We start from the raw sequence: 26,888 nt of genomic DNA on the forward strand, positions 1-26,888 counted from the left end.
GCAGAATTCCTGAGGCCTAATTATCAGGGAAAAGACTTGGCAAGTGGCATGGAATAATCCAGAAGCAGTGTTTGGTCTTGGTTAAACTGTCTTACGAACACAGGGACTGTGAAAATGGAGATCCATGTTTTTCCACCAGAAGCATTTTATTTTTCTATGTTTTTCTTGGTTTTTTGATTCTTATGTTGTCATTTCCCTGAGTTGAGATCTCCAGCAGTTCCTGAATTTTCTTGGAGCACTGCTCTGTGCAATTTCACCTGACCTCCTTACATCTCTGAGGGGAGGGCTTGATTTAACTAGGGTATTGATTTAACAGGGACTTTCCCTGAAAATCTAGATCTAAAAAGTCATCATCTTAATCATTAGTAAAGAGGAAGGTGGAGAGGCAGTGATGGGTTGAGAGCCCTGGGGAAGAAGCTGCATGTGTGGACATTGAAGCAGGCCTGGGAGAGCAGCTGGCCGTTGCGTGTGGACACCACTGCCTTCCAGTGAAACACAGGGCAGTTCAGCTCAGGGAGAGTCACTCCTCCCCTGGGCGGGACTTCAGTGATGGGCCAGGAGTGTCCACACCTGGGTTCCTGCCATGAACTGCCTTCTAGAAGCTCTCCTTAAGGTCTACACATCGTATAATGGAGGCAAGTTGCTGCATGAGGGGGAACTGCTTTGTTTGTTGTTTGTTTGTTTGTTTGTTTGTTTTTAACTGTGTGAAGTTTTTGTACCAATGGAAATAGGAGGAAGTAAAGCAAATTAAGGCCCTCCCGGCTACTTTAGTATCTTTTTTTTGTTTTGTTTTGTTTTTTGAGATGGAGTCTCACACTGTCTCCCGGGCTGGAGTGCAGTGGCACGATCTCGGCTCACTGCAAACTCCGCCTCCCAGGTTCAAGCGATTCTCCTGCCCCAGCCTCCCAAGTAGCTGGGATTACAGGCATCTGCCACCACGCCCAGCTAATTTTTTGTATTTTTAGTTGAGACAGGATTTTACCATGTTGGCTAGGCTGGTATCAAACTTCTGACCTCGTGATTCCCCCCTCCTCAGCCTCCCAAAGTGCTGGGACTACAGGCCTGAGCCACCGCGCCCCACCCAACCTTGGTATCTTAAAGCAAGTGTCTTACACCTGCACCACCCCTGCTGCCTCTTTCTCGGCTTTATGCTTTGAGAATGGGAGAGAGGACTGTGCTTGTCACAAGAGAATGCATTGCTAATGGTGGAATTTTAGATATTAGAGGAACAATGACTTTTGTCGGATTTGTCCCCATCCATTCACATCAGCAAATATTCCATGATTGCCTGTGATATGTCTAAGCAAAGGAACTTGGAGTGCTGAGCAAAGGAAGACAAGACAGGGACTTCTATCCTGGTTGAGTTGCACTATTAATAGATAAGACATCTCAGGCCATAGATAGTTAAGATCTCAGTATTTACAAACTTATCACTTGTAATTTAGTCTATTCCTCAGCAACGCCCATGATAGAGGTGCAGTAACTTATCTTTTAGCTGTACATGAATTTGATTTGAGCTGCAATATTAATGGGAAGGGGTGATTCAATTGGTCACTAAGCGCCTCTAGAAAGCCCCCCCGGCAACCACCTCCCAATAAGGCTTTGCCTCCCTCCATGCATCACTGTGTGCGCCATCATGCTGATGATGTGGTATAACTGTTTGGTAGTGGAGATGTGCCATCGTTGGAGGAGGAAATATTATTAGTAAGAGCTGAAATATCTTATTGCAGAAAGGTATTTATAGGAAATGTGTGACTCTTGAAGAAAGTAAGAATTAGGAGAAACCCAGGAGCCTATATCAGCAAACCTCTGTTCACAATTTTAGTAATCTGGGAAAATCTTACACTACCTGCCTTGCAAACTGGCGAAAATTAGCAGGTCTACAATTATGATGATCGGATTCTCCGAGATGAAAATTAGGTCCCGTGATACATAAGTTCAGATGTCCCTGGAAAGATCCAAGGAGGAAATATTTGAAATAGAGCTTGTTCTGGAAAATATTTGAAATTGAGAAGGTTGTGGAAACCGTACATGCAGCACTGTGCATGCAGCAGGATGTGTATAAAGTCTGATGAGGACATAGATGAGAGTGCTTGTGAGCCCACATTCTCAAACCACACCAAGTACACAGCCCCTGATAGCGAGACCAAGCTTGACCATCCACATTTGTTCATTCTGTTGGGTAGAATTTATCAAACCAGAACATACAGGTCACAAGTTGTTCCTTCAATCAAGGAAGATCCCCTCGTCATCTGGACACTAGCTGTGGGATGTCAAAGAGTTCTCAGGCCCCTGAGTAACTAATGACGTACAGCCATTAACTCTATTATTTACTAGAAATGACAGATGCGTGGTGGCGGGTGCCTGTAGTCCCAGCTACTCGGGAGGCTGAGGCAGGAGAATGGCATGAACCCGGGAGGCGTAGATTGCAGTGAGCCAAAATGGCGCCATTGCACTCCAGCTTGGGCGACAGAGCAAGACGTCTCAAAAAAAGAAAAAAGAAATGACAAATGCATTGGTCCAAAACCTACAGTGCTTCCTGGAAGACCTTCCAAGTGATGTAACAAGGGTTATCTTCCAGAGATGCGATATTAGTCCTGTGATTGCCTGTTTACTCATTCATTGATACAATAAATATTGACCGAGTGCTTGCTATGTGACAAGCACTGAGCTAGGGCTGGGAAATCATCAGTGAATAGTCAGAGAAAGTCCTTGTTTGCAAGAGCATAGACTCTAGTTCGAGGAGAGAAAATGAACAAGACCACTTCAGGGTACGATAAGAGCTTTGAAGGCATCAAAACAGGCTAGGGAGCCTGGGTGGAAACTAGTGTAAAGAGGATGACAAGGAAGTCCTGACCAATGTGAGACCTGTGCAGTGAGGAGTCAGCCACACGGAGAGCAGCAAGGGCCAGCAGCCCAAGGCGAGAGTGCACTTTGCATTTGAGGAACAGAAAGGTTTCGTGACTGCAGACTTGTGAATTTGGAAGCAAGTGGGAAGAGGCCAACCAGGGCCTGACCCTTGGTAAAGATATGCAAAGTGAAGCCTTGGGAGTCATTTAAAGCAGGGGGCTGGGATGTGTGCTGGTTATACATTGAGGGACGATAAACCTGACAATGGTGCTCACCCTTAGAGTCCAACACACTCTTCCATCATGACCAGTAGGAGGAAATGTGTGCCGAGATTGCTAAATTTCCAAGATTGCATGTAACTCCCAGCATGCTTCATCTGTGCTGTATTTTATAAAATATCTGCATAAACAGAAATATTTGAAATAGAGCCTATTCTGGAAAATACTGGAAATTGAGAAGGTCGTGGAAATCGTACATGCAGCACTGTGCAAGCAGCAGGATATGTATAAATCCAACTCTGTTTGTAAGTAGTTGGAATCTCAGCATTTACAGACTTATCATTTGTAATTTGGACTCTTTATTCCTGAGCTACTCACATTATAGAGGCATAGTAATTTGTCCTCTCTGCAATGCTGATCAGAAACAGTGATGTGAACCGTCCGGAACATCTGTGCACTAGCCAATAAATGATTGAATATTGATAAGCCATTGATAATTGATTATTCAACATACAGAATCAGTAGCAAAGCATTTTCTTGTCTAATTTGATGAGGAATTAGCATCTTTCTATTCTAATCATAAGAGCATTAAAAATTATATTGTTCCTTTTTCCCAGTGGTTGCCAGGAAGCTCATATACGAAGTGAATGGTTAATCACAGTAGCCATTCTAATTTTTATCATTAAGATATTTGCTTTATCCTCCTTTTTAAGCTTTTTTTATTTATTTCCATTATATATCACCTTAAATCTTTTTGTAGCTAAAGGTGGAATATCAATTTTTTTAATTGCATGTTTAAAGCCATAACCCTGGCCTGCTTGATAGATACTTTAGAAATGTTATATCCACCAGTGGCAGGGTGTGAATAGTTAATTGAATCAGCAATTAAATACATCATTATAGATAATTTCTAGAAAATGTTAAGCTTCAGGACTTTAGCCAAGAATGTATCACCCAGGCAAGTAACATTTCTACTAGAAAATCAGGTTCTACCATAAATTCAAGGTCTGACTATTGCCATCGGAAGGGTTTCAAGCTTAATATAAACCAGGAATGTTTCTCATCACTCGAATGCATTTGCCAAAGAACTTCAACTTCTGTCTCCTTTCCTGTTGAACTTTAAAAACCGGAGAGGCAACTGTCTGTCGAGACTGTTTTGTCTAGAGCAGGGCTGGAGGCAGGAATCCAGCATTATAAGTTTCAATTCTTGGTCCTCAACTCAAAGCTTTGGGAAGCACCTTCATTGTACCCTGTTAATCACAAAATTAACTTAAAACTAAAAGAGTCTGTCTTCTCTTTGCTTCCTACAAAGCAGGATGTATGGGGGCGGTGATTATACACAGACCCCAGGACTGTATTTCTGTGATCTAGCATCGAAAACCATTTATGGCTGAATTTAACTCCGGAAAGCCCTGCTTTCTCTTTTCTTCTGATCCTCCATATCAATATCAGTCTGATGACTCTGGCATTTACTGGCACAGCTGACCGTAAACACACTGCAGCCATTAACCAGAAATCACCCACATGTGGGATTTGGTCATAAACATGGGCCTTGCGTCTAGACTAATTATATGGATAATGGTTGTGGGGGGCGGGGGAGGGCGTAAAAAGAGGAAGAATGCCAAAATCTGGAAGATATTCTAGGTAGTTTTCCGTAACTTTTCTAAAAACAAAGAAATCAGCTAAAAACAGCAAGCACTTTATTTTTTAATAATATAACTAATAGGCATCCACTGGAGGAAAAGAAAGAGAAAGAGAGAGAGAGAGAGACAGGGAGGACAGAGCCAGGCCAATGTTAATTTGTATCACTAACATTTTGGGACACTTTAAGGTTTACTACAAAAATTCTAGATCAGGGTTGATACACTGAAACCCTCAGGCCAAATCCAACCCACTGCCTGTTTTATAAATAAAGTTTTATTGGAACACAGCCATGTCCATTTGTTTACATGTTATCTATGGCTAATTTCACGATACAATGGCAGAGTTACAGAGACCATATGGTATGCAAAGCCTAAAATATTTCTTTATTATCTGCCCCTTTCCAGAATAAGTTTGCCAGCTCCTGATCTAGACTTTTTTGTCTCTACATATTTATCTTTTACATAGTCTTTCAACTTTTTTTTTAACCTTTTGGCTTGAAATAATTATAGATTCATAAGAAGTGCAAGGAAATGTAAGAAGAAGCCCAGTGCACCCTTTCCGAAGCTTCCCCCAGTGCTTGCATAACTATAGGGCAATAACAAAGCCAAAGCTAGTTCAGATTTCACCAGTTCACCTGCCATCATTTGAGGTGATATGTAGGCTTTTTAAACATAAAAGGGGTATGAAATACAATGCCTTTAACGTTAAGAGTGATAATAATGAGAAGCCTTCAATTGACAGACTGAAGAGAAAGAAACGTGAATACGGTTAGTGCAGCCTGAGAATCTCCTAAGAGTCCGATATGATCCAACAGTCCTAAGAAAACCAGAACTATTTCCTCTGTACCAGTAGTCACTCCTAAGTCATAACAGCCAGGACATTTAGGTGGAGATTGTATGTTTTATTTTCTCCTAAACTTATAATCCTCTCTACTTTCCTTCTTCTGCATCCCCATCATCTTGACACTAAAAAAAGAAAAAGAAAGACAGAAAATGTGTGCATGAAATGTGACCAGGGAATCAAAGATGACAGAGCTTTGATAAGGTCCAGAAAGTCTCAGCCCCTCCAAAGCAAGCGATTAAAGAGAAAGGTGACGTTCGGTTTATTCAAATATGTTTATCTGACATCTGTCTGGGTTTCATCTGAAGTGTGTAGGCTCCTTCTGGATCCTTCCCCACAAGAGCCTGGCTTCAGTATCATACACTTTGCGTGGGATGAAGTTCTCAAGCCTCAACAGCTAAGGAAATCTGCCAGGGTGTCTGGCAAACTGTGTAAGAGGGAGAAACACCCCAGCTCTGAATTCAGCCTGCTGTGAATTATATTATAACCAACTGGTTATAATATATGGACAGAGTTACCAGGTGTCTATGCGGGATTTGGATGTACTAATGTTTGCTTGTGTTGAGTGAGGCTGGGCTAATGAGCCTCGGTTACAGGTGTTTGGGAGAAGTATGAATACAGTTGGTAGGGCATAGTGATAAAGCTTTGCTCTGTTTTGTTTTTAACAAAGGCTACTTAAGAAGCTGGAATTATAAAGCATTGTGGTCTGAGAAATTTATAGGGCAGCTTGAACGGAAGGTAGTAACTAACCAGGGAGAAGCCACGGAAAGCTCTGAATCCTCTCCTGGACACCAGAGGGTGTGCCAGAAAAGCAGGCAAAAACCGAGGTGCTTGGTTCTTCTTCCGGGACCTGGTGGGGGCCAGGAGATTTAATGTGAGGGAGCACAGCCGGGCCAGGGGGAACCAAAATCCTGATACCAGGTGGCACCGCCAACCATGCACGACCTCTGAGGGGAGAGGGGAGAGGGCCAACAGGAAAGCCAGGCAGGAGCCAGAAGAATGAGGAGCACAAAAGAGCCAGGCGTAGAGAATGGACAGTAGGTGTCAGACCCTGGTGTGTGTGGGAGAAGTGACCACCATGGCTCAACGGAAGTCAGTCCCTCAGCCAGATGATGAATATTCACTGAATTCCTGCTGCATTAGTCAGAGTCCCCTAAGGAGACAGATGGCAAACTCAGATTAGGAAAAGGGTTATGACAAGCAGAATGTTTTCCTGGGTGGAGTCGGGGCATGTGAGAGAACCACAGGGACAGGGCAGGAACCCCTTCCTGGTGGCGGCAGAGCTCTTGACACCTCTGGGCTTGATGGGCCAAGGGGAATGGATGATGTTTGGAATCTGCAAATAGAAAGTCATTTGGAGAGAAGGGACAGTGACTCTCGGTCAGGGGTTGGAACAAGCTTGAGGGAAGTGTGCAGGGATGGAGCCAGGAGGACAGAGACTCCATCTTCACTGCCCTCCTCTGGGGTCCCATTCACTGAATACATCTGAAGCCAGAGGGCAAGGAGGCCTCCTGTGCAGAAGGCAGGGTGGGGAAGGGCAGATGAACTGGAGCGCACCCCACTGAAGATTCTGGCATGGCTACCACATGCCAGGCACTGTGCTGAGCCTGGGACTCACCCTGCCGAAGCCTGAAGGCAAAACAAATCATCATGACTGAGCTAAAGCCATGAAGAGGCCCCAGTGCTCTGGAATCACCTAACAAAAACAGCTCCTAGCCTAGTCTTGGAGGTCCAGAAAGATGCCTCTAAGGCTTGGGCATTAGCTATGGAAAGAACAAAGAAGAATGTCAAAGGCAAAGGCAACAGCATGTTCAAAGGTCCTGGGGTGCAACACAGCATGTTTCAAGTCAGAGGGGAAAAGGCAAGAAGAATGAAAAAGACGATGGCAGAACACAGGGCCTGATCACACGAGGCCCTGTGGCTTTTTAAGGAATTCACACATGATCCTGTGGGGGATGAGGAGAACCCAAAGTATTTTAAATGCAGAATGGATTTTAAAGGGTTTGTGTGTGTATGTGCACATACATGCAGGCACGCATGTGTTTGGAGTGGTGTGTGAAGCTGAAAGCCAAATGGAATGACGAGGCGAAACTGGAGATGTCTAAGAAGCCCGAGTGTGCTAAGCTAGTTCAGGCTAGATTCAGGAGGAATCAGCTTGTGTACCAACTTTTTCCTTTTCTTGTGTAGTTTGCACTGAGAGATCTTTAGCTGCAAGATGAGAAGGCGCAGAGACCTGATGCCTATTTTCAAATCCTGGCAGATGCATTATAAGAAAGGGGGACTCAATTTGTTTTGTACAGACTGTTCCTTCAAGAACACTGGCATGCAAAACCTACTGCATCTGGTGCCAGCCCAGCCACTACCACCTCTTCTTTTACTCCTTCTGACAGGCCGAGATCCTTCCTTCTTTCAGCTCCTGCATTAACTACACTGGTGTGTGTGATTCTCTCTCCCAGATCTTCCTGGGGCTGCCTCCTTCTCAGAACTCAGATCTCAACTCAGAAGGTATCTCCCTCTTCTATCCCATAAGCTCCATGACATCAAGCATGTCATTTGTCCTGCTCACTCTTATATTACCCTCAGTATCTAGAAAAGAGACACCTATGTTGTGGATTCTCATTATTTTGTTGATTGAACAAATATTTATTTAGAGCTTTGCAAAATCTGATTAAACTACCTAGGAAATACTGAGTTTCCTAAACTTGGAGGTAAAGAAGTAGGGACAAGTTGGTTAGAGAGAGCATTGAGTTATAAAAGAGGCTAGATCGCAGATTGAAAACACAATTAGAGGCCTTTGAAGAACAATCTATTAAGCAGATTTTGAAGTGGAGAGAAGGAGATGTCCTGGTTGAATGGGAGTTGGGAGGCCCAGAGCACTCCTCCAGATCTCTCTGCCAAGCATGGTTTCTTTTTTTTTTTTTTTAGATGGAGTCTCGCTCTGTCACCCAGGCTGGAGTGCAGTGGCACGATCTCAGCTCACTGCAAGCTCCGCCTCCCGGGTTCACGCCATTATCCTGCCTCAGCCTCCCAAGTAGCTGGGACTATAGGCACCCACCACCACGCCTGGCTAATTTTTTTGTATTTTTAGTAGAGACGGGGTTTCACCATGTTAGCCAGGATGGTCTCGATCTCCTGACCTCATGATCCACCCGCCTTGGCCTCCCAAAGTGCTGGGATTACAGGCGTGAGCCACTGCGCCCGGCCTGCCAAGCGTGGTTTCAAACCCTTGAGCTACATAGCTCTTATGTTTCCTTCCTCCTAGGATGCAGCGACTGCATCTCTAGCATGGGCAGGAAGGTGACTCTTGCATCTCCACTTGGTAACAGACAAAAGCCTGCATCTCAAGGGCCAGATCACTGGGAGACAAATCTCTAGGCTGGAGACTTCAAAATGGCAGTCTAGATAATTCAGACCACAGATTGGTGCACATGATATTTGCAATGTTCTGGAATTAGTGGCCAAAGTCTGTTGACTACATGCAGATATTCCCACACATCAGAACATCTGTTCATCCTGGGCCCACATTCTCTCATTCTTCCATGTATTCATTCATTGTGTTGATATAATGGAGAGCAAAGTAGACACCAATGTTGCCCTAAGGAGCTTGTGTTCTAAGGGTAAGACACAGATAAAAAGTAAGTCATGGAATGTATCAGATAGTAAGCCCTGAGAAAAATAAAGAGAGAAAAAAACAACAGCTCGTGGGAGGGGGTTAGGGGAGGTCAAGGGATACAGTGTTTCCCAGGATGGTTGGAGAGGGCCTCACTGTGAAAGGAGTCATCTGAGCTAAGGTCTGAGGAGGTGAAAGTGAAAGCCACACAGACATTGGGGAAGGAGCATTCTAAGTGGGGGAACAGCAAGTGCACAGGCCCTGAGGTGGGAGCATGCCTGGTATGTTCTAAATGGGGGAACCCTAAGGGGGTCTGCATGGCTGAAGCAGGATGGGGGAGGCAGGGCACTGCGGTCAAAGAGAAAATGTGGGGAGTGAAGGGTCCGACCGGCAATTGCACTTCCAGTGTGCGGCCAAGGGGAGAAGCACTGATTTGGGGCCTTGTAGAGATAGTATAAAGAACTTGCCTTCTACTAAGTGAAATGGATTTTGAACAGAGGAGTGACGTGGATTTACTTTTTTTTTTTCTAATTTAAAAAAAATTTTTTTTTGAGGCAGAGTCTCGCTCTGTCGCCCAGGCTGGAGTGCAGTGGCGCACTGCAACCTCCGCCTCCTGGGTTCAAGCGATTCTCTTGCCTCAGCCTCCCGAGTGGCTGGGACTACAGGCATGCACCACCACGCCTGGCTAATTTTTGTATTTTTAGTAGAGACTGGGTTTCACCATATTAGCCAGGCTGGTCTCGAACTCCTGACCTTATGATCCACCAGCCTCGGCCTCTCAAAGGGCTGGGATTACAGGTGTGAGCCACCACGCCCAGCCAGATGTACTATTTTTAAAGAATCCTGTGTTGAGAATAAACTATGAGTAGGCACGAGTATTTGCCCAGAGGCCAGTTAGGAGGCTGTTGCAATAACCCAGGTGAGAGACGACCATGCCTTGGACCAGTGGTTCTCAAAACGGGGTTCTTAAGCAAGCAGCGTCAGCATCGCCTGGACAGTTTTCTTAAAGCAAACTTTTTGGCCTCACCAGAGACCTACTAAACCAGAAACTCTGAGGATGGAGCCAGCAACCTGTGTTCAAATCAAGCCTTGAGTTGGTTCTGATGCACAGTGAGATTTGAGATCCACCACTGCCTTGGACAAAGATGGTCATCATGGAAGTGGTGAAAGGGCTTGGTTCTGTATGTTTTAAAGGTAGACTTGGACAATAGGGAAAGGCTAAATAGACTGGGTCCCTAAAGACAGGATCAGACTTCTCCAGTTTGCCACTGGCCCCACTCAGTCCTTTCTGTTCCTCTCTGGACCCTGTAGGCATTTGTCTTTGCCCTCTGCCCCAGACTCCTGGATGAGAGAGGTAGAAAACTCAATGGTGGGAATCCCACAAACTTCTGTTAGGAAAATTGCCTTGGGTCATTTCCTTTTGCATATCGGAAGAATCATCTCAATCATTCGTTTGCAAGTGTGACAAGGGAAAAGTGAAATGTCTGTACTGAGGCTTTGGGGAAGGGTGAGAAGGGTGTTGAGGAAGGGAAGGAACAAATGAGCTCATGGTTTCCTTTTTCCAATCTGGCTCTCCTTTCCCAGAGGGAATACTCAGGGAACCTGCTGTTACTTCTCACAAGCACTAGAAAAAAATCACTTCCCAACCTCATCTGCCAGGCGGCAAAATCTTAGCTGTGAACTGCAGTTCCAAAATGTGACTCTTATTAAACATCGCTATCACATTAAGCCCAGACAGTGACCTACTCTGTCGCCTGAAAGAATCCGCAATTAACATGGGGAGTCTAATCAGGATATTAACGAGTCTGGTTTTGAATTCCTATAATATTTTCATCAGTTTTTTAAAAAACTCATTTCAACCTGCATTAAGCTTGGCAAGTGGATTCTGTGGGGTGAAAAGCGACAGGATTTGGGAAAGCTTATATTTTCTCATCAGGTAAAATGCAAGCATATGGAAGATTCAGTTTGTTTTAAAAGAAACCTTCATTAAGAAATGAAAGGTTGAGCCTGTGACCACTTTGTTACAGGGTGGCTGAGCTGCAGGAGAGAAGGTGAGGGCATCAGGAAGAGAAAGTACACTGCCAAGAAAGGCTGAGAAATTCTACCACGTCTCCTTTCCAGGACTGGTTATTTCATAGCTTCACGCCCAGGGAAATCACACATGCAAATCGGACACTCCAAAATACACAGCAGATTAAATCAAGTCAATATTTGGTCTGTAGCTAGTATATTTTATTAAACCTAAGAAGCTGCAGATTATAAGATGTGTCATTATTTAGGACCCTTTCCATGAATAAAACAAAAAGAAGAATGCCCTGAATTCATTGTAAGATCTCATTGATTGGAAGATGCATTCTGATTTTAGTGATATTAAGATGTCTGAGGATGGAGCATCCAAGCTGGTGGGTAAGCACAGTGAGGCCAACACACACCCATGTTCTTTCCACCTCTTTCTGCTCCGTCAGCCTTAGCTTCCATGTCTTGTTCTTGTGTCTGTGTTACGATGGTAGATACAACTTCATGCCTCACGTGCACTGTGCAAGAGGAAGGAGAGTGTAATCAGCCAGGACTTTAACAGAGAAGGCACAGGACCAGTTGAAGATATCTTCTCGCTTTCTCTCTATATATATGCATATGTATATAATGTATTATATATATGAATAGATGTGTGCATATACGTATATGTGTGTATACATACACACACTCATACATTCCACACTTGAGTAAATACATACAAGTGCATATGCATATTTATATAATGTATTATATATATGAATAGATGTGTGCATATACCTATATATGTGTATACATACACTCATACATTCCACACTTGAGTAAATACATACAAGTGTGTATACATATATACAGAAAGCAAGAGAGAGAATGAGATTTATACTGTTGTGCAGCATGGCTGGGCAAGGCTGACACCTGCAGGGCTGGCCAGCAAGGTGGAAGCTCACAGATAGGAGCTGAACTTGTCAATCCACAGGCAGAATGTCTTCCTCAGGAAAAGCTCCGTTTGGGCCTTATTCAACGGATTGAATTCTCCCTGCATGCATTGTTGAAGATAATCTCCTTTGCTTAAAGTCAATTTCTTATGGACTTTCATCACATCTAGAAAACACGTTCACAGCAACACCTAGATAATTACTGGTTGAATACTGTGGGACTGTTGCCTTGCCATGTTGACACATAAAACCAACCATCACAAAGGGTGCCATGATTTTTTTAAAAAGTCCCTTCTAACAAGGTTTTGCCTTTTTCATTAGAGAAGGACCCATTCTCTGTATGTTTCATTGGACGGAACTGTCACATGACCACCCCTGGTTACCACAGAGGCTGGAGCTGGAGTATGTTGTTCCTCAGCCACTCTAGGAGGGATATACCCAGGGATGTCAGCTGTGAGTGGATGCTGAGTGAGCCAATCCATAGGATCTTCCATGACCTAGTTACTGAACATCTAATGAGTACAAGAGGCTGAACAACCACGTGTGGCTCAGATTCGATTCTTGTTAATCATTACCAAAGATAATTAAATAACATTGACTCCCAACGTGAAAAACTCATTTCCCTTCCATGCGTGGCAGCTGAAACTGCTTTTTGATGTAGAGTAGGGCTATAAAATGCCTTTTAAAGTGTTTAAGCTAAAATGGAAACCCTGTTAAAGAAAAATATTTAGAAAGTGCCTTGGTACTAATTGTACGCTAGAGCAGACATTGGGAAACTGTCATGTGAGTTGCTTAGTCATGAATCACTGATTGGAATATGGTTCTTCAGTGCTTCCCCTGGCTAAAGCACAGGCTCAAAGCTATGTTGTCCATGTCCCTGGCCAGGCAGCATGAGACGTGTTCATGAGGAAGTTAGAAAACCTCTCTGACCCTCCATCTCCTCACCTGCAGAGCAGGGACACACCATAGTGTGTCCATGAAGTCAAACGTGGTCCTGCAAACTCTTTGCAAGGTGCTGGCCTGTCGCAGGCATTCACCAGCCATGAGGTTATTGTTACTATTCCACCTCATAATTTATCTGAGCAGAGAGAATGTCTTCATAATTCTTTCCACATAAAATTGAAGGGTTTTAGTATAAAAAGAGTGATGGGCTGGGTTGGAGGAGGATTTAACCCTGCCAAACCATCATGCTCTCTATCTAACGTGGGATGGTGAGAACAATGGAAACATCGGTGAAGCCCATTCGCCTCTCCAAGGAGGGTCTCCTATGATGACTGCCTGGGTCCTCCCTACTAGAAAAAGTAACACAATTAGTATTCTCTCTTCCAAAAGGAGTAATTCAGGCACTTTATGATTAAATAACTTGTCCCAGGTCAAACAAGTAGTAACTGCCCACACTAACTTGAAATCGACAAGGTGACTTTGCCTTCTAGGGGACAGTTGACAATGCCTAGAGACATGGTTGATCATGACTTGGAGGGCTGGGGTGGTACTGGCATCTGGCAGATAGACACCAGGGAAGCTGTGGAATGTCCTACAGTGCCTGGGACAGCCCACCCCCTACAAGAAAGGAGCACCCAGCTCCAAATGTTAAGAGTACTCAGCTCTAAATGTCAGGAGTACTCAGCTCCAAATGTCAGGAGTACTCAGCTCCAAATGTCAGGAGTACTCAGCTCCAAATGTCAGGAGTACTGAGGGCGAGAAGTCCTGCTCCAGAGTCCCTGTGAGCCTTTCCTCACAGGTTTTCATGAGGGTCAGATGAGGCCAGCACTGCGTCAGCGTTCTGTAAACCTCAGGCAGGAGCCAGGCATGCATTGCAGTGATGGGAAGCACTGATGAAGCCTTCTTAGCAAAGCACAGACGTGTTGGCCAATGCATACATTTAAGAAAGTGGGTTCCAAATTTTCTCTCTCTGAATCATTGGCAAATAACAACAAATGACAAAGAATTAAGCTCAGCATTGTCACCAAACTAGCCATGTCACACCTGTAACAGTTAAATACCTCAGTCCACAAGCTTGGGTGCAGAAGAAATCTAACATTCTCTTATTTTCTTCACCTGAACTTAATTTATATTTCCAGTCCCTAATCTTAGTGGCAGATACTTCATCTTAGTCAACTCAGGACTCCTTCCTCTTCCAAGAGATACAGCTAATACCAGGCCCTATGCAGGGAGTGGTGGGCACATTCAGGCCAGGGAAAGAGGGTTCATTGGCCAAGGTGGCTGCGGAGGCCTGAGTTGTCCCCAGCCTCAAGCTCTCATAGTATTTTCTGGTGGTCAAGGGCCAGGGCATTACTGGCTGTTCCTGAGCCACTTTGAACCCTGAAAGGCCTCATCATGGCGTATTCTGCCCTCAAACTTGGGAGACAGCTCCGTCCTTCTCACACTGGGGCACGTGGGAGCTCTGTAAGGTGGCCACAGCCAGCTACATGATTTTCAGGGCCCAGTAAAAAATGAGCATTCAGGATCCCCTGTTCAAATATTAATAGGAATTTCAAGATGGCAAAGTGCATGAAGCCAAGCACAGGACGCTATGCAGTTGCACAGGTCAAATGCCCATGAAGCTGGCCCTGGAATGACCTTCAGGCCCATCTGCTGAGATGCTCCTCTCAGCCACTGTGCTGCCAATCCTCCCCTCCTGCACTGGAGCCCAGGAAAGCTGGGGGACTCGCTGCTCTCCTGGGCACTGCTGGAGGAAGGGATGCAGGTTATTGCTACTCCTAAATCCACGCAAAACTTTTAGGATTTGTATCATCTCCCCTTCCTCTGGAACACCAGGCAGCATCTCACTTCCCAGCCCACCTGCAGCTCTCATCTGCCCCCCAAATCCCAATGTGTGTCTGCTCAGGCCCAGCAGGGAACACCTGTGCTTTACTCATGCCTTTTCCTTTGTCTGAGTTGTCTCAAGAATCTTGCTTTTGCAAAAATTGCATCTGTTCAACTCAAATTCCTTTTCTTTGATTTTTGGTGTGATCATCTCTTTCCAGAAGCAATAAATGCCAATGCCTGGTGGGGGGAAGAGCAGCCAATGCAGGAATGCTAGGATAAAACAAGGTGACTTTTCTTTCTTTTTTCTTTTTTTTTTTTTTTTGAGATGGAGTCTCGCTCTGTCACCCAGGCTGGAGTGCAGTGGCACAATCTCGGCTCACTGCAAACTCCGCCTCCCAAGTTCACGTCATTCTCCTGCCTCAGCCTCCGAGTAGCTGGGACTACAGGCGCCCGCCACCATGCCCAGCTAATTTTTTGTATATTTTTTAGTAGAGACGGGGTTTCACCGTGTTAGTCAGGATGGTCTCTAACTCCTGACCTCGTGATCCGCCTGCCTTGGCCTCCCAAAGTGCTGGGATTACAGGCGTGAGCCACTGCACCTGGCTGCTAAAACAAGGTGATTTTTCAAAAAATTATTGCACAATGTGCAATGAGCCCTATATCATCATCCTTTCAAAATATTCTACACAGGTTATTTCCAAAGACAAAGAAACTCAGTGGGGATTGCATGGGAGAAACTGTGTTGCGCACTCCTATGAAGGATCCCCATGTAGCCTTCACAGTTTCACTTAGATTCTGTCTCTTCCAGGACGTCCTCTCTTATTTCACCTAACTTGGGCTAGTTCGTCCTTCTGAAGCTCCTGTAATGTAACAGCTGTGCCTCTAGCCCTCTCTTTCTCTCTTCTTTGTCTTGTAGACATGAGAGACAGCAGTGAGTAATGGGACAATCACCAAGCATGGGAGAGGGACAAAGGTGGGGTAGGCCCTGCATCTGTGTTCGCTTGGACAAGCTGCCTGAGTTCTCCAGACATCAACTCCTCAATCTGAAAAAAATTGAGCGCAATTATTCCTACCTGCTGGCTTGTTGGTGGCTGTGCTTGCCATTGTCATTTTAATTTTTGTTATTACTGTTGTATAAGTTTTAGGTCTGCTATTAGATTTAGGATCCTTCAGGCCAAGACTTTATTGACCTTTGTGTTCCTAGCCCCCTTCTATGCCAGCATAGAGGACAGTCCCTGGCACATAGTAGATGCTCAATAGTATTTGTCGGGGCAGTGAGTAAATTCCCTGCCTCAGTTTGCTTGTCCTTGAGGAGGTAGATACAAAATCAGAACTCACAGCTTCCCTTATCCACCTCCGATCGCCAGCCTTCCAGAGCATTTGCTGAGCTCACCACCAGGGAACGAATACAACAACATTGATTGCGATGCTGAGTTGTGCCAGACTCTGTGCTAAGGTTGGAGTGACCAATAATCCCAGTTTGCCTGAGACTGAGGGATTTCCTGGGACATAAAATTGTCAGTCCTAAAACTGGGATAATCACAGAAGGAGGAACAGGTTGGCCACCCTTGCTAAGGCTTTTCATGCATTATCTCTTTCTGTCTTTTTTCTTTATTTTTTTTTTTAATAGAGATGGGGTCCTTACTATGTTGACCAGGCTAGTCTCGAACTGCTGACCTCAAGCAATCCTCCCATCTCAGCCTCCCAAAGTGCTGGAATTACAGGCTTAAACCGCCATACCCGGCCGAATTATCTCTTATCTATTTTAAATATGCTTCATTTCTTAGAACAGTTTTTTATTTATGTATGTATAGATATATTTGCTTTGTGGGGCAGGGGGGTGCGGGCTGGGGGGACAGAGCTGCTCTGTTGCCCAGGCTGGAGTGCAATGATGTGACCTCAACTCACTGCAACCTCCACCTCCCGGGTTCAAGCGATTCTCCTGTCTCAGCCTCCCAAGTAGCTGGGATTACAGGCGTGTGCCACCACACCCAGCTAATTTTTGTATTTTTAGTAGAGAAGGGGCTTCACCACGTTGACCAGACTGGTCTCGAACTCCTGAGCTCAGTTGATCCACCCACCTCGGCCTCCTAAAGTTCTGGGATTATAGGCGTGAGCAATCATGCCCAGCCAGAACAATTTTAAATATACAGAAAAATTGAGATGCTTGTCCAAAGAGCCCCCACATGCCCCACACCCAGTTTCCCCTATTTGTAACACCTTACGTTAGTACCGTAAATTTGTCACAACAAATGAACCAGCACGGATACGTTATTATGAACCAAAATCCATACTCTATTCAGATTTCCTTAGTGTTTCCCTGCGTCATTTTCCTGCTCCAGGCTCACACTCGGAATACCACAACACATCTACTTTCCATGTCTCCTTGGGCTCTTGTTGGCAGTAATATCTTCTCAGGCTTTTTTTTTTTTTTTTTTTTAATGATGACCTTGACTGTTTTAAGGCGTACTGGTCAGGTATACTGTAGTATCTCATTTAATCCTCATATAAACCTTAAAGAATGAACACTATTGTTCCATTTTACCAATGGGGTTGCTGACGCTTACGTCCGGTATAACCAGTAAAGGGTTGAATGGTAATTTGAGTTTCCACTGGGGGCAATGATTCCTTAATAACATCAATTCATAGTAAGTATTATCTTCAGTGCTTGTTCTGTCTCAAGTACCCTGCAAAGAAGCCCGTCCCTATTGTATTCTTTCATCCTCATAAGCACAGCACTGTAGACACTCACGTATGCCCATTTTACAGATAAGGAAACCAAGGCCAAGAAAGGTTAAGTCTCTGGCTCAAGTCATGAAACTGATGGAAGAATGTAGACCCCAATCCAGGGCCTCTGCAATCTTTATGCTCTGTCTTTCTAGGAAATACTTTCTCCCTATTAAAGATTGACCCGTTTGGAGGAATATTTTCTCCCTTCTGCTGTGGAACATCTACAGCAGGGTTTCTCAGACTTAACTGTACCTACTCATCACCTGAGGATCTTGTTAAAAATGCAGGTTCCGTAGGTCTGGGATGAGGCCTAAGAACCCGTATTTCTTTTCTTTTCTTTTCTTTTCTTTTTTTTTTTTTTTTTTTTTTTTTTTTTGAGACCAAGTCTCACCCCGTCACCCAGGCTGGAGTGCAGTGGCACAATCTCAGCTCACTGCAATCTCCGCCTCCCGGGTTCAAGCGATTCTCCTGCCTCAGCCTCCCAAGTAGCTGGGATTACAGGCGTGTGCCACCAAGCCCAGCTAATTTTTGTATTTTTAGTAGAGATGGGGTTTCACTTTCCTGGCCAGGTTGGTCTTGAACTCCTGACCTCAAATGATCTGCCCATCTCAGCCTCCCAAAGTGCTGGGATTACAGGCGTGAGCCACCGCACCGGGCCAGGACCCGTATTTCTAACAAGACGGCAGGTGCGGCCACACTGGGAGTAGCGAGGCTGGACACTGACTCCTACCTCACATTTTCCTTTCTTTCCGGAACAAACACGGTAACTGCTGTGTGGGCACACAAGGCAGTGGCCAGAATTCTCAGGTCACTTCCTGACTCTCTGGAGCTCCAACTGTCGGCAGATAAAAAGAAATCTAGGCACTGAGAAATCCCAGGCACTAACATTCCGGACGACCAATTGGCAACTCCAACCTCTCCAGCAGGGTTTGTAAAGAAAACGTAATGAGCCCAGGTGAGGCTCATTAGAGCCAGCCTGGAATTCTGCCAGTGCTACCATGAGCTTTATGCCAACCCTTGATTTTCATATCAGTGGCAGTACTGACAAGGAAGCTGGAAGGCAGGCTGGGAGGAAGCTTTGTACCCATGGAGTCCTCTCCCTCCTCCCCATCCAGTAGCTCTCGCCACGAGGTGAGGCAGTTGGCTTCATCAAATCAGAACCAGCTCATGAGTAATTTTCACTGTCTTCCCTTTCTAACAGGCTGGGCCCCAGGTGATCCTAAAAATTAAATGAAGCTCAGAAAATGAGACACTTAGGAGAGCCAGGCATGAATAGCCTATCCCCGGCTCTAGCGGAACTCTTTACTTCCCTTGTCAATTTCCTTGGACTTCCTTTGGGCCTTTGACTAGTGGCAAAGTTTCACTCCAGAATCTCACAGCTCTGGAGTATTTCTGCCAGAGGGTCCCAGTCCCCTGTGTGTTTTCTTGTTCTCAAGCAAAATTTAAAATGGGCAATGGTAGCCAATGCTGTCTTTTCTCCTTGTAAATTGAGATATTTATGCTGATGCAATATTTTCAGAATAGGACTCTAGGCTGCCTCCAAGCTTCCAGGTACTTCCCAGATTCCAGCAAAAAATTCTTACTACCATCACCCTCCTCCTCCTCATCATCATCATCATCATCATCCCCATTATCATCACTGTCATTACTGGGAATTTATTGCATGTTAAGCACCAGGCTTGCATTTTGCTTGTATTTTCTCAATTAATACAAGCATTGAGGAAGGTCATATTGTTATTCCCACATTACCAAGGATAAAACAGGCTTAGGTAAAATAGCTTCCCAAGGCCACCCTACCGCTGAATTGACCATACTGTCTGCTTGGCCACTGAAGTTGAGACCAAAGATGTTTTTCACTATGCACATCCCCCAAAGATTTTTGGATAAAAACTGATTGACTTACAGTTCTGGCCAAAAGTCAAGCTGATCATTGGTTTTTATATGAGAGAGCGAATGACAAAGAGAGAAGAAAAGAAGAGAAAAATCACTGAATTCACAAAATAGTGCCCTAGTGGTTTATAAATGAGGGGAAAAATGGCACCAGTGACACTGTATTTATACTAATCACTAAAAGCAAATGAATTCCAACTGGGTATGTTAAAAATAGATGCATGTTGATATGTATATATTAACCTAATATGAGAAAAAGTAACCCCATTGAGAAAAGTTAGAGATAAAGTTTACAACCTTCACTTTCTCCCCTGCACAATAGAACTTATGCCATGATAAAATCCCACAACTTAGTCATTTGTTTATTTAAAATGCATTTGTTGAGCACCTCCTATGAGCCAAGAAGTAAAGATTGTGTAAAAAAATAAAATACGTGGGTAGATGGACAATTCAACTAGCAAATGCAATGCACTGTGATTGACAAGTTTGAGTGTTTGTGTTAGAATTATTTGTGTGCAAGCAACAGAAGCTGACTCTGGTGAATCCTAGCAAGTTCAGCATCTCATGAGAAAAAAAGAGCATCTAACACAGACAGAAGGGAAGTGGTCAGGGAAGCCTCCTGGAGGAAGTGACATTTCAGTTGAGACTTGAGGAAGAGGCAGAGGAACCTGTGCCAAAGTGTGGATGTGTGTTTTTGTGGATATGGAGCAGGGCAGAGAGGCTGGTTGGCAAGTGTCCTCAGCAGGGGACAGCACAGGTGAGATGACAGGGAACTAGGCACAGAAAATTCTCTCACAAGGCAGTCACTGGAACCACCCCCACCATTGCCTGTTAGACACCTGGAAATAGCTCTTGGTGGTTGGGAGAAATGGGGCTAGGTGGGAAACAACGTCAGGGAATAACACACACAGAGGACTTGTCTGGTCCCCCGTCCCCCAGTGTAGACCGCCATAGGAAAGCTATGTTGTAAGAAATCATAGAGGAAGGAGACAGCACAAATTAAAACTCCTACTATCATAAGCATCTAGCAAGCATTTTATGAAGCTGCCTTGTGAGGAACTACTTCACTCTAGGAAAAACCCTCCTGGTTACCATGACTCAGAGAACGATCTGCAAAATAATTCACCAAATTAGAGTTTGCCGAGTGCACATTTGTAAATCTGATCCCGCCTGCCCGCCCCCCCATTCTGTTGATTATATCTTTCATCCCCAAGAATGAGGCCAAGAGCCTCCTCCCTGCCCCTCCTCCCCTCCCTCTGTAATCCTCACCCCTCATTTCTCTCCCCTCCCCACTTCTCAGCATCCTGCCACCCCTAAGGCGGTGGCGTGATCACGTGCTGATTTCAGGGAGTTCATTAAAAACCACCACCCTCCCCGCTGACCACGAGGCACCGGCAGCAGCCCCTGGGGCCATGGCGCTGGCAAGAGCATGCCGGTCACTCAAGAGGGGCCGACCCACTCCGAGGACAGGGACCCCCTTGCACAAATGAGAAGAGCCAGCAAACAGTTAATGGTTGAATCCTTTGCAGAAAAAGTCAAGGCAGACTTGTGATTCTTGATGTTAATGAAGGTGTCACACATTGTCTAGAGAAAGTTGTGCCTGGCAATCTTCCCTGTTTCGGATGCCTACCCCAGTGACATTTCATCTCACATCCACCTTAATGAAATGCATAATTAACATATTCTAATTGTGCTGAGCGCTGCGATGATTTTGACAGAACTCACTTTCCATGTCTAATTTGATGCTAATTTAATCTGTTCCTCTCCCGCTGACATGACCTTTCTTGATTGAGTTTCACTGAGGAAATTTTTTGATGGATTGATTTATCAGCATTGCAGAGACAACAAAGGCTCAGGGTGCACGACAGAAAATAGGAAGGGAACGGCCCTCGAAGCCAGCACGCTCTGAACTTGCCGGCTGGAATGTCCTCTTTCCAGAGACGGCTTGTCTGACCTACTGATGGAATTTGAGAAATGTGACATCTGTGCGTGGGTTTGATCTCTCCGATAAAGACAGTAAATATCTTATTGTGGTTGTGAAGCTTTGCATGGAAAACTTCTCTAGGGCTATTCGAAGGAAGCTTAGGCTCCTCCTGTTGACCAAAACCCTAAGCGTGTGAGGCCAGGCCACAGGTTGAGGGCCCCGTCTAGGGTAGAGTGTTTGCTCATTAGCTTTAACCAGGAGAAAGCACGAAGAGGTGGAAGTGTCCGTCTCAAATTAAAACAGAGAAACGTCGCAACTGCGTAGGTCATTGAGCATGGATTTCCTACTTTTAGATATTCTGTAGACATCTACAAAAAGGGGAGTTAAACCTAGATCTTATGGAAGCGTCTGTGGAATGTCCTCCAATACCTGCCCCCACAGATACACAGAGTCTCAAAGCTATTAATATAAACATCTCTTTGTCCAGTTCCTGGTCTTTGTAGAAGTAGGTGCTCAGGATACTGATGACAGTCTTGGAGTGTCCCAGTTCTCACAGGATTAAGTGGCTGAGGGCATTAGACTCCCTCATCCTGAAGATACAGGGGTCAAAACCAGAACCATAGCTGAATGGGCTCCTGGGAAAGCAGTCCCTCACCCTACCTTATACAAAAGTGGCTGCTTTTCAACAGCTGTGAAGGCTTGGATTCCAAGGGGCTTGATCAAAATTTCTCAGGTTTGGCACTATTGTCATTTGAGGCTGGATCATTCTTCGTTGGGGTGGGAGGGGTCTCCTGTGCACTGTAAGTTGTTGAGAAGCATCTCTAGCCTCCACCCACTAAAAGCCAGTAGCACTCCCATTCCTGAGTTGTGGTGACTAAATTTGCCTCAGATTTTGCCAGATGTGTCCTGGGGAGGCAAAATCACCACTGGCTGATAACCACTGAGGTAGAGGGCCAAGTGATAATGCCTGTGACCCCCACATGTCTGCATTGCTCAACACCCCCTACTTCCTCTGCCCAGTGTCACCTCCCCAGCTAGACGTTGTCCAATGGAGCAGACAAGTCCTTATCCACCCCCCAACTCCTTATTCAACTTCTCCCTTTTCCAAATCATATATGACTACACTGTATTAAATATTGATTTATTTATTGTCTGTCTCTACTCAATAAACCATAAGCTACATAAGGCTGAGATGTTGTCCATCTTTTTTACTTTTTTTTTTTCCAACTTTTACTTTAAGTTTGAGGGTGCATGTTCAGAATGTGCAAGTTTGTTGCATAGGTAAACATGTGCCATCATTGTTTGCTGTACAGATCAATCCATTGCCTAGGTATTAAGCCCAGAATCCGTTAGCTATTCCTCCTGATGCTCTTTTTTTACTTTAATTATGGTAAAATATACATAACATAAAATTCACCGTTTTAAGTATCATAAAGTATGCAATTCAGTGGCTTTTAGTACATTGACAATGTGTGCACCTATGCCACTATCGAGTTTCAGAATATTTTCATGACCCCGAAAAGAAACTCCCATACCCGTAACGTGGTAACCCTACTCTTTCCCTCCTCCCAGCCCCTGATAACCGCTAATCTGTGTCTACTGATCTGCCTATTCTGTACATTTCACTTAAATGGAATCATACAATAAGTGAACCTTTGTGTCTGGTGGTTCCTCAATAAGATAAACATGAAGTGACCACAGGACCCAGCAATTCCATTCCTAGGCATACATACAAAAAACATGGGAGACAAGTGTTCTAACGAAAACTTTTATATGAGTGTTCCTAGAAGCACTCTTTGCAATAGCCAAAAGGTGTCCATATGCTCATGAATGGATAAACAAAATGTGGTATATCCATACAATGGAATAGCCATAAAAGGGAATGAAGTGTGGATACATGGTGCAACATGGATGAACCTTGCCTGTCTTTTCATCGTTACATCCTCAGTAGTGAAAATACTGCCTGGCATGTAGTAGGTGCTCAGTAAATACAAGTGGAATAAATGAAAGGCATATAAAAGTAAATGAATTGAGGATAGTCAAGAACCATGGATAACTAGTTAGAAGGGCCATTCACATTAACTGTGTTTCTTTTAATTTAGAAAAAAAAAGAAAAGAAAAAAAATAGACCCCCCCAAAAGAAACAAAGAAACAAAAATGAACCTGATATTGAGCCGGAAATTTTGGAGGCGGGGAGGATCGCTGTATGTGAAAAATAGTTGAATCATGGAGGGGAGCTGGTAATGAAAGTGTCATGACAGAATACTAAAACTTCCCTGCTTTCTGTTCTATTTTGTTTTGTTTCAATGTCAAGCTCTACTTCTTCTTCCCAAATGTTTCTTTCAGAAGCAGATACTTAAGCTATCCATAGTAAATAGATATTTTCCTTCAAAGTACTCTCCTGGGAGGATGAAACATTTATTCCAAAGTAGTTGCCCTGACTGCAAAGATTTTTGCAAAATTTCTTCAGGAGCTGCCTTCCGAGCCCCGCAAGGATACCAAGCTAACGAGATTATCATCATTATGATTACACTTCATCATAGATCAAAAGCAGTTTAACTCGGCAAAATGACCTGGCCTGCTTCACTAGTCTTTATTCTAAGGGGCTGCTGGCTTTGTTCAAAGGCTAAAATCTCTCTGCAAAGCCCAGTTGAACAGTGTCCAGGTGTGCCCCCAAGGCAGGGGCAAAGTGGAGCATGGTCTAAGGGGTCAAGCTACTTAGGTCTCAATCCTTGCTCTACCACTAACTGGGAAAGTGTGCCTCAGTTTCCTCATCTGTTAAAACTGCATAGTAATAGTCCTACCTCAAAGAGTTCTCTTGAGGATTAACTTAGTTAATAATACATAAGCCAAGCATTAGAAACAATGCCCACCACATAGCAAAGTCTTTTAGGTATAAGCTCTTCTTATAAGATATGTGTCTGAGCCTTTTCAGTAATTGTGTAGTGGCCAAGTGAGGTGGCCCATGCCTATAATCCTAGCACTTTAAGAGGCTGAGGAAGGCAGATCACTTGAGTCCTGGAGTTCTAGACCAGCCTGGGTGACACGGTGAGACCCCATCTCTACAAACAATATGAAAACTACCTGGGCATGGTGGCATGCACTTGTAGTCCCAGCTACTCTGGAGGCTGAGGCGGGAGGATCACTTGAGTCTGGGAGGTAGAGGTTGCAGTGAGCCAAGATCATGCCACTGCACTCCAGCCTGGGTGACAGAGTGAGACCCCACCTCAAAAAAAAAAAAAAAAGAAGTGTAGCTTCCCCAGGTGAAGTCTGAAAGTGGTACACTTACTATTTTTAAAAATAATTATTAAGAAATCAGGCGTGCAGTTTTAATGCAATCTTCAGTGGTATATTCATTCTTATATTCTTATTACTGTTGTAACAAGTTAGCACAAACAGTGGCTTAAAAGAAAACAAATTCATTATCTTTCAGTTCCAGAAGTCAGAAGTCTATGTCAGCTTCGTAGAGAAAAAATTAAGGTGTCAGCAGAATTGGTTCCTTCTGGAAGTCCCAGGGGATTGTTTTCTTGCCTGTTCAGCTTTTAGAAGCTGCCTGCATTACTTGGCTCAGGGGCCTCTTCCTTGAATTACTCCAACCTCTTCTGCCATCATATCCTACTAATGACTGATCCTCCTCCCTCCCTTGTATAAGGACCCCTGTGATTACATTGGGTCTGCCTGAATAATCTAAACCAAGGTTCCCATCTTGAGATCCTGAATTTAATCACATCTGCAAAGTCCCACTTACTATAGAAAGTCACATATTCACTGGTTCTAGGGACTCGAATGTAGACATCTCAGGGACATTTATTCAGCCTATCACATATGACTTCATTTTAGGTGGAAAGTGGTTCTCAGTGGAGGATATCAATTCCTTTCTATCTCTCAGTGCAACTCTGTTGTGCCATTTTGAGGACAGAAAAACAATGTGGAGTTAGCCACTGGAATCCAAGGTTGGATGGACCTCTAGGACGGTGAAGTCTCCTGTAGTTCTCTTCCTCAGTGGCTTTGTAAGGATTTTGTTATGTTTGACCAGCAACCCCAGGACTGGAGTTATTCAAGGGGTCTAACCCCAAACACATGTCACATGAGAGAATACCAATTTGGCTGTAAGTTTCATTGTGACCTTGTATCCTACTTGATAGGTTTAAGATAGCACAGTCCTCCAGTGCACCTGGCTAAAGTCATTCTTACATAGCCTCCATCAGGTCATGATTTTTGTTCTGTTCTCGTATGTTTTTGCAGCACCAAAAGAAGTCCCCAGCACCTTACAGGATTGATATTGAGAGCTTTTACAGTGTTTAAAGGTAACTGTTTTTCACAAAGATGAAACACTTTTTGTCTGTTTCACCAATATCCCACCTGGAATATCCTGTATTTCTCTGAATATTATAGTAACCTGTGGCTATCTTGAAACTTCCAGGTTTTCCCATATGAAACTAGAAGACAGACTTGGAAGGCAATGTTGCTTAGAGCAATGCTTGCTCACCAAATCTTTTTCATTAGAATAGTTCACTTAGATACTGGGCAGTTTTGATAAACCAGCATTCAGGGAACAAAGCTTTTATGAAGGTTCCAGCCATAATTTTTGGCCTCAGAATATTGCTGGGTGTTTTTTCCTCTGTCAATCTAAAATGAAAATGTAACATTTCAATTGCAATTCGTTAGGAAGAAGCAAAGAAGGGGATATTTGCATTTGATCACCAAATTGGACGAGACTAACTTTCATCCGCATCTGATCTGCCAATATCAGCTTTTTTCTGAAATATAAAATAGTCATTAATTCACTGTTTTCCCTTATTGAGTGAATAGATTTTTTTTTCTGTCACCTGTGTTTTTATCCAAAATCAGCAATAGAATATTTTGCATGGTTAAAAACTGGGGAGGTGGGAATTGACATTTCCTTTGAACTCCAAACAAATGGCAAACTTCAAAAAATGTTTGATGAAATACTGCAGTATTATAACCCAAAGAATCTATGATGGAGAAAAATATGAAGAAAATAAAGAATTTTTTTAACGAATGGATTATGATACTTACCTTCAGTAGGTTAGCTTTAGTGTTTACAAGTATTAATTGATTTTTTGTCAAAAAAAGTTACATAAAAAATTAACTCAATTATCATCAATCCAAAATTTTGAAAGATAAAATGTGGCAGGTGGAATTCTAAAAATGGCCTCTGAGATTCCTGTCCCATGTTTATTCAAACACTAACCTAGGTACAGCTTGTGAAGGGATTTCACAGATGTGACTAAAGTGTCAAGTCAGTTCACTTTAAAATACAGAGATGACCATATCACACGAGTCTCATCCAAACATGAAATCCCTTTAAAATCAAAGCTTCTTCCCCAGGTGGTAGCAAAAACAGACATCTTCCTCAAGGAGGAAAACAGGAAGAGAATCAAGGTCAGAGAGATTTGAGTTCAAATTTTCCACTTATTGGTTTTATGACCTTTTGAAAAGTT

At 44.0% G+C, this 26,888-nt stretch overlaps 1 protein-coding gene across 10 annotated transcripts in view, besides 1 other annotated feature; it reads left to right on the plus strand.

The window, feature by feature from the left end:
- The window catches only part of TSHZ2 (teashirt zinc finger homeobox 2), a 522,973-nt gene that overhangs the window by 352,642 nt on the left and 143,443 nt on the right, over positions 1-26,888 (plus strand). The gene's annotated exons all lie outside the window — the stretch shown is intronic.
- Positions 6,551-6,845: an enhancer, noted in NCBI's record as "tiled region #12391; K562 Activating DNase matched - State 5:Enh, and HepG2 Activating non-DNase unmatched - State 20:ReprD". NCBI's record gives its function as "activates a minimal TATA promoter and a strong SV40 promoter by Sharpr-MPRA in K562 cells, with weaker activation in HepG2 cells {active_cell/tissue: HepG2 | K562}" and the evidence as "EXISTENCE:reporter gene assay evidence [ECO:0000049][PMID:27701403]".

This window comes from Homo sapiens, chromosome 20, assembly GCF_000001405.40.
Source record: "Homo sapiens chromosome 20, GRCh38.p14 Primary Assembly".
Taxonomy (NCBI): domain Eukaryota; kingdom Metazoa; phylum Chordata; class Mammalia; order Primates; family Hominidae; genus Homo; species Homo sapiens.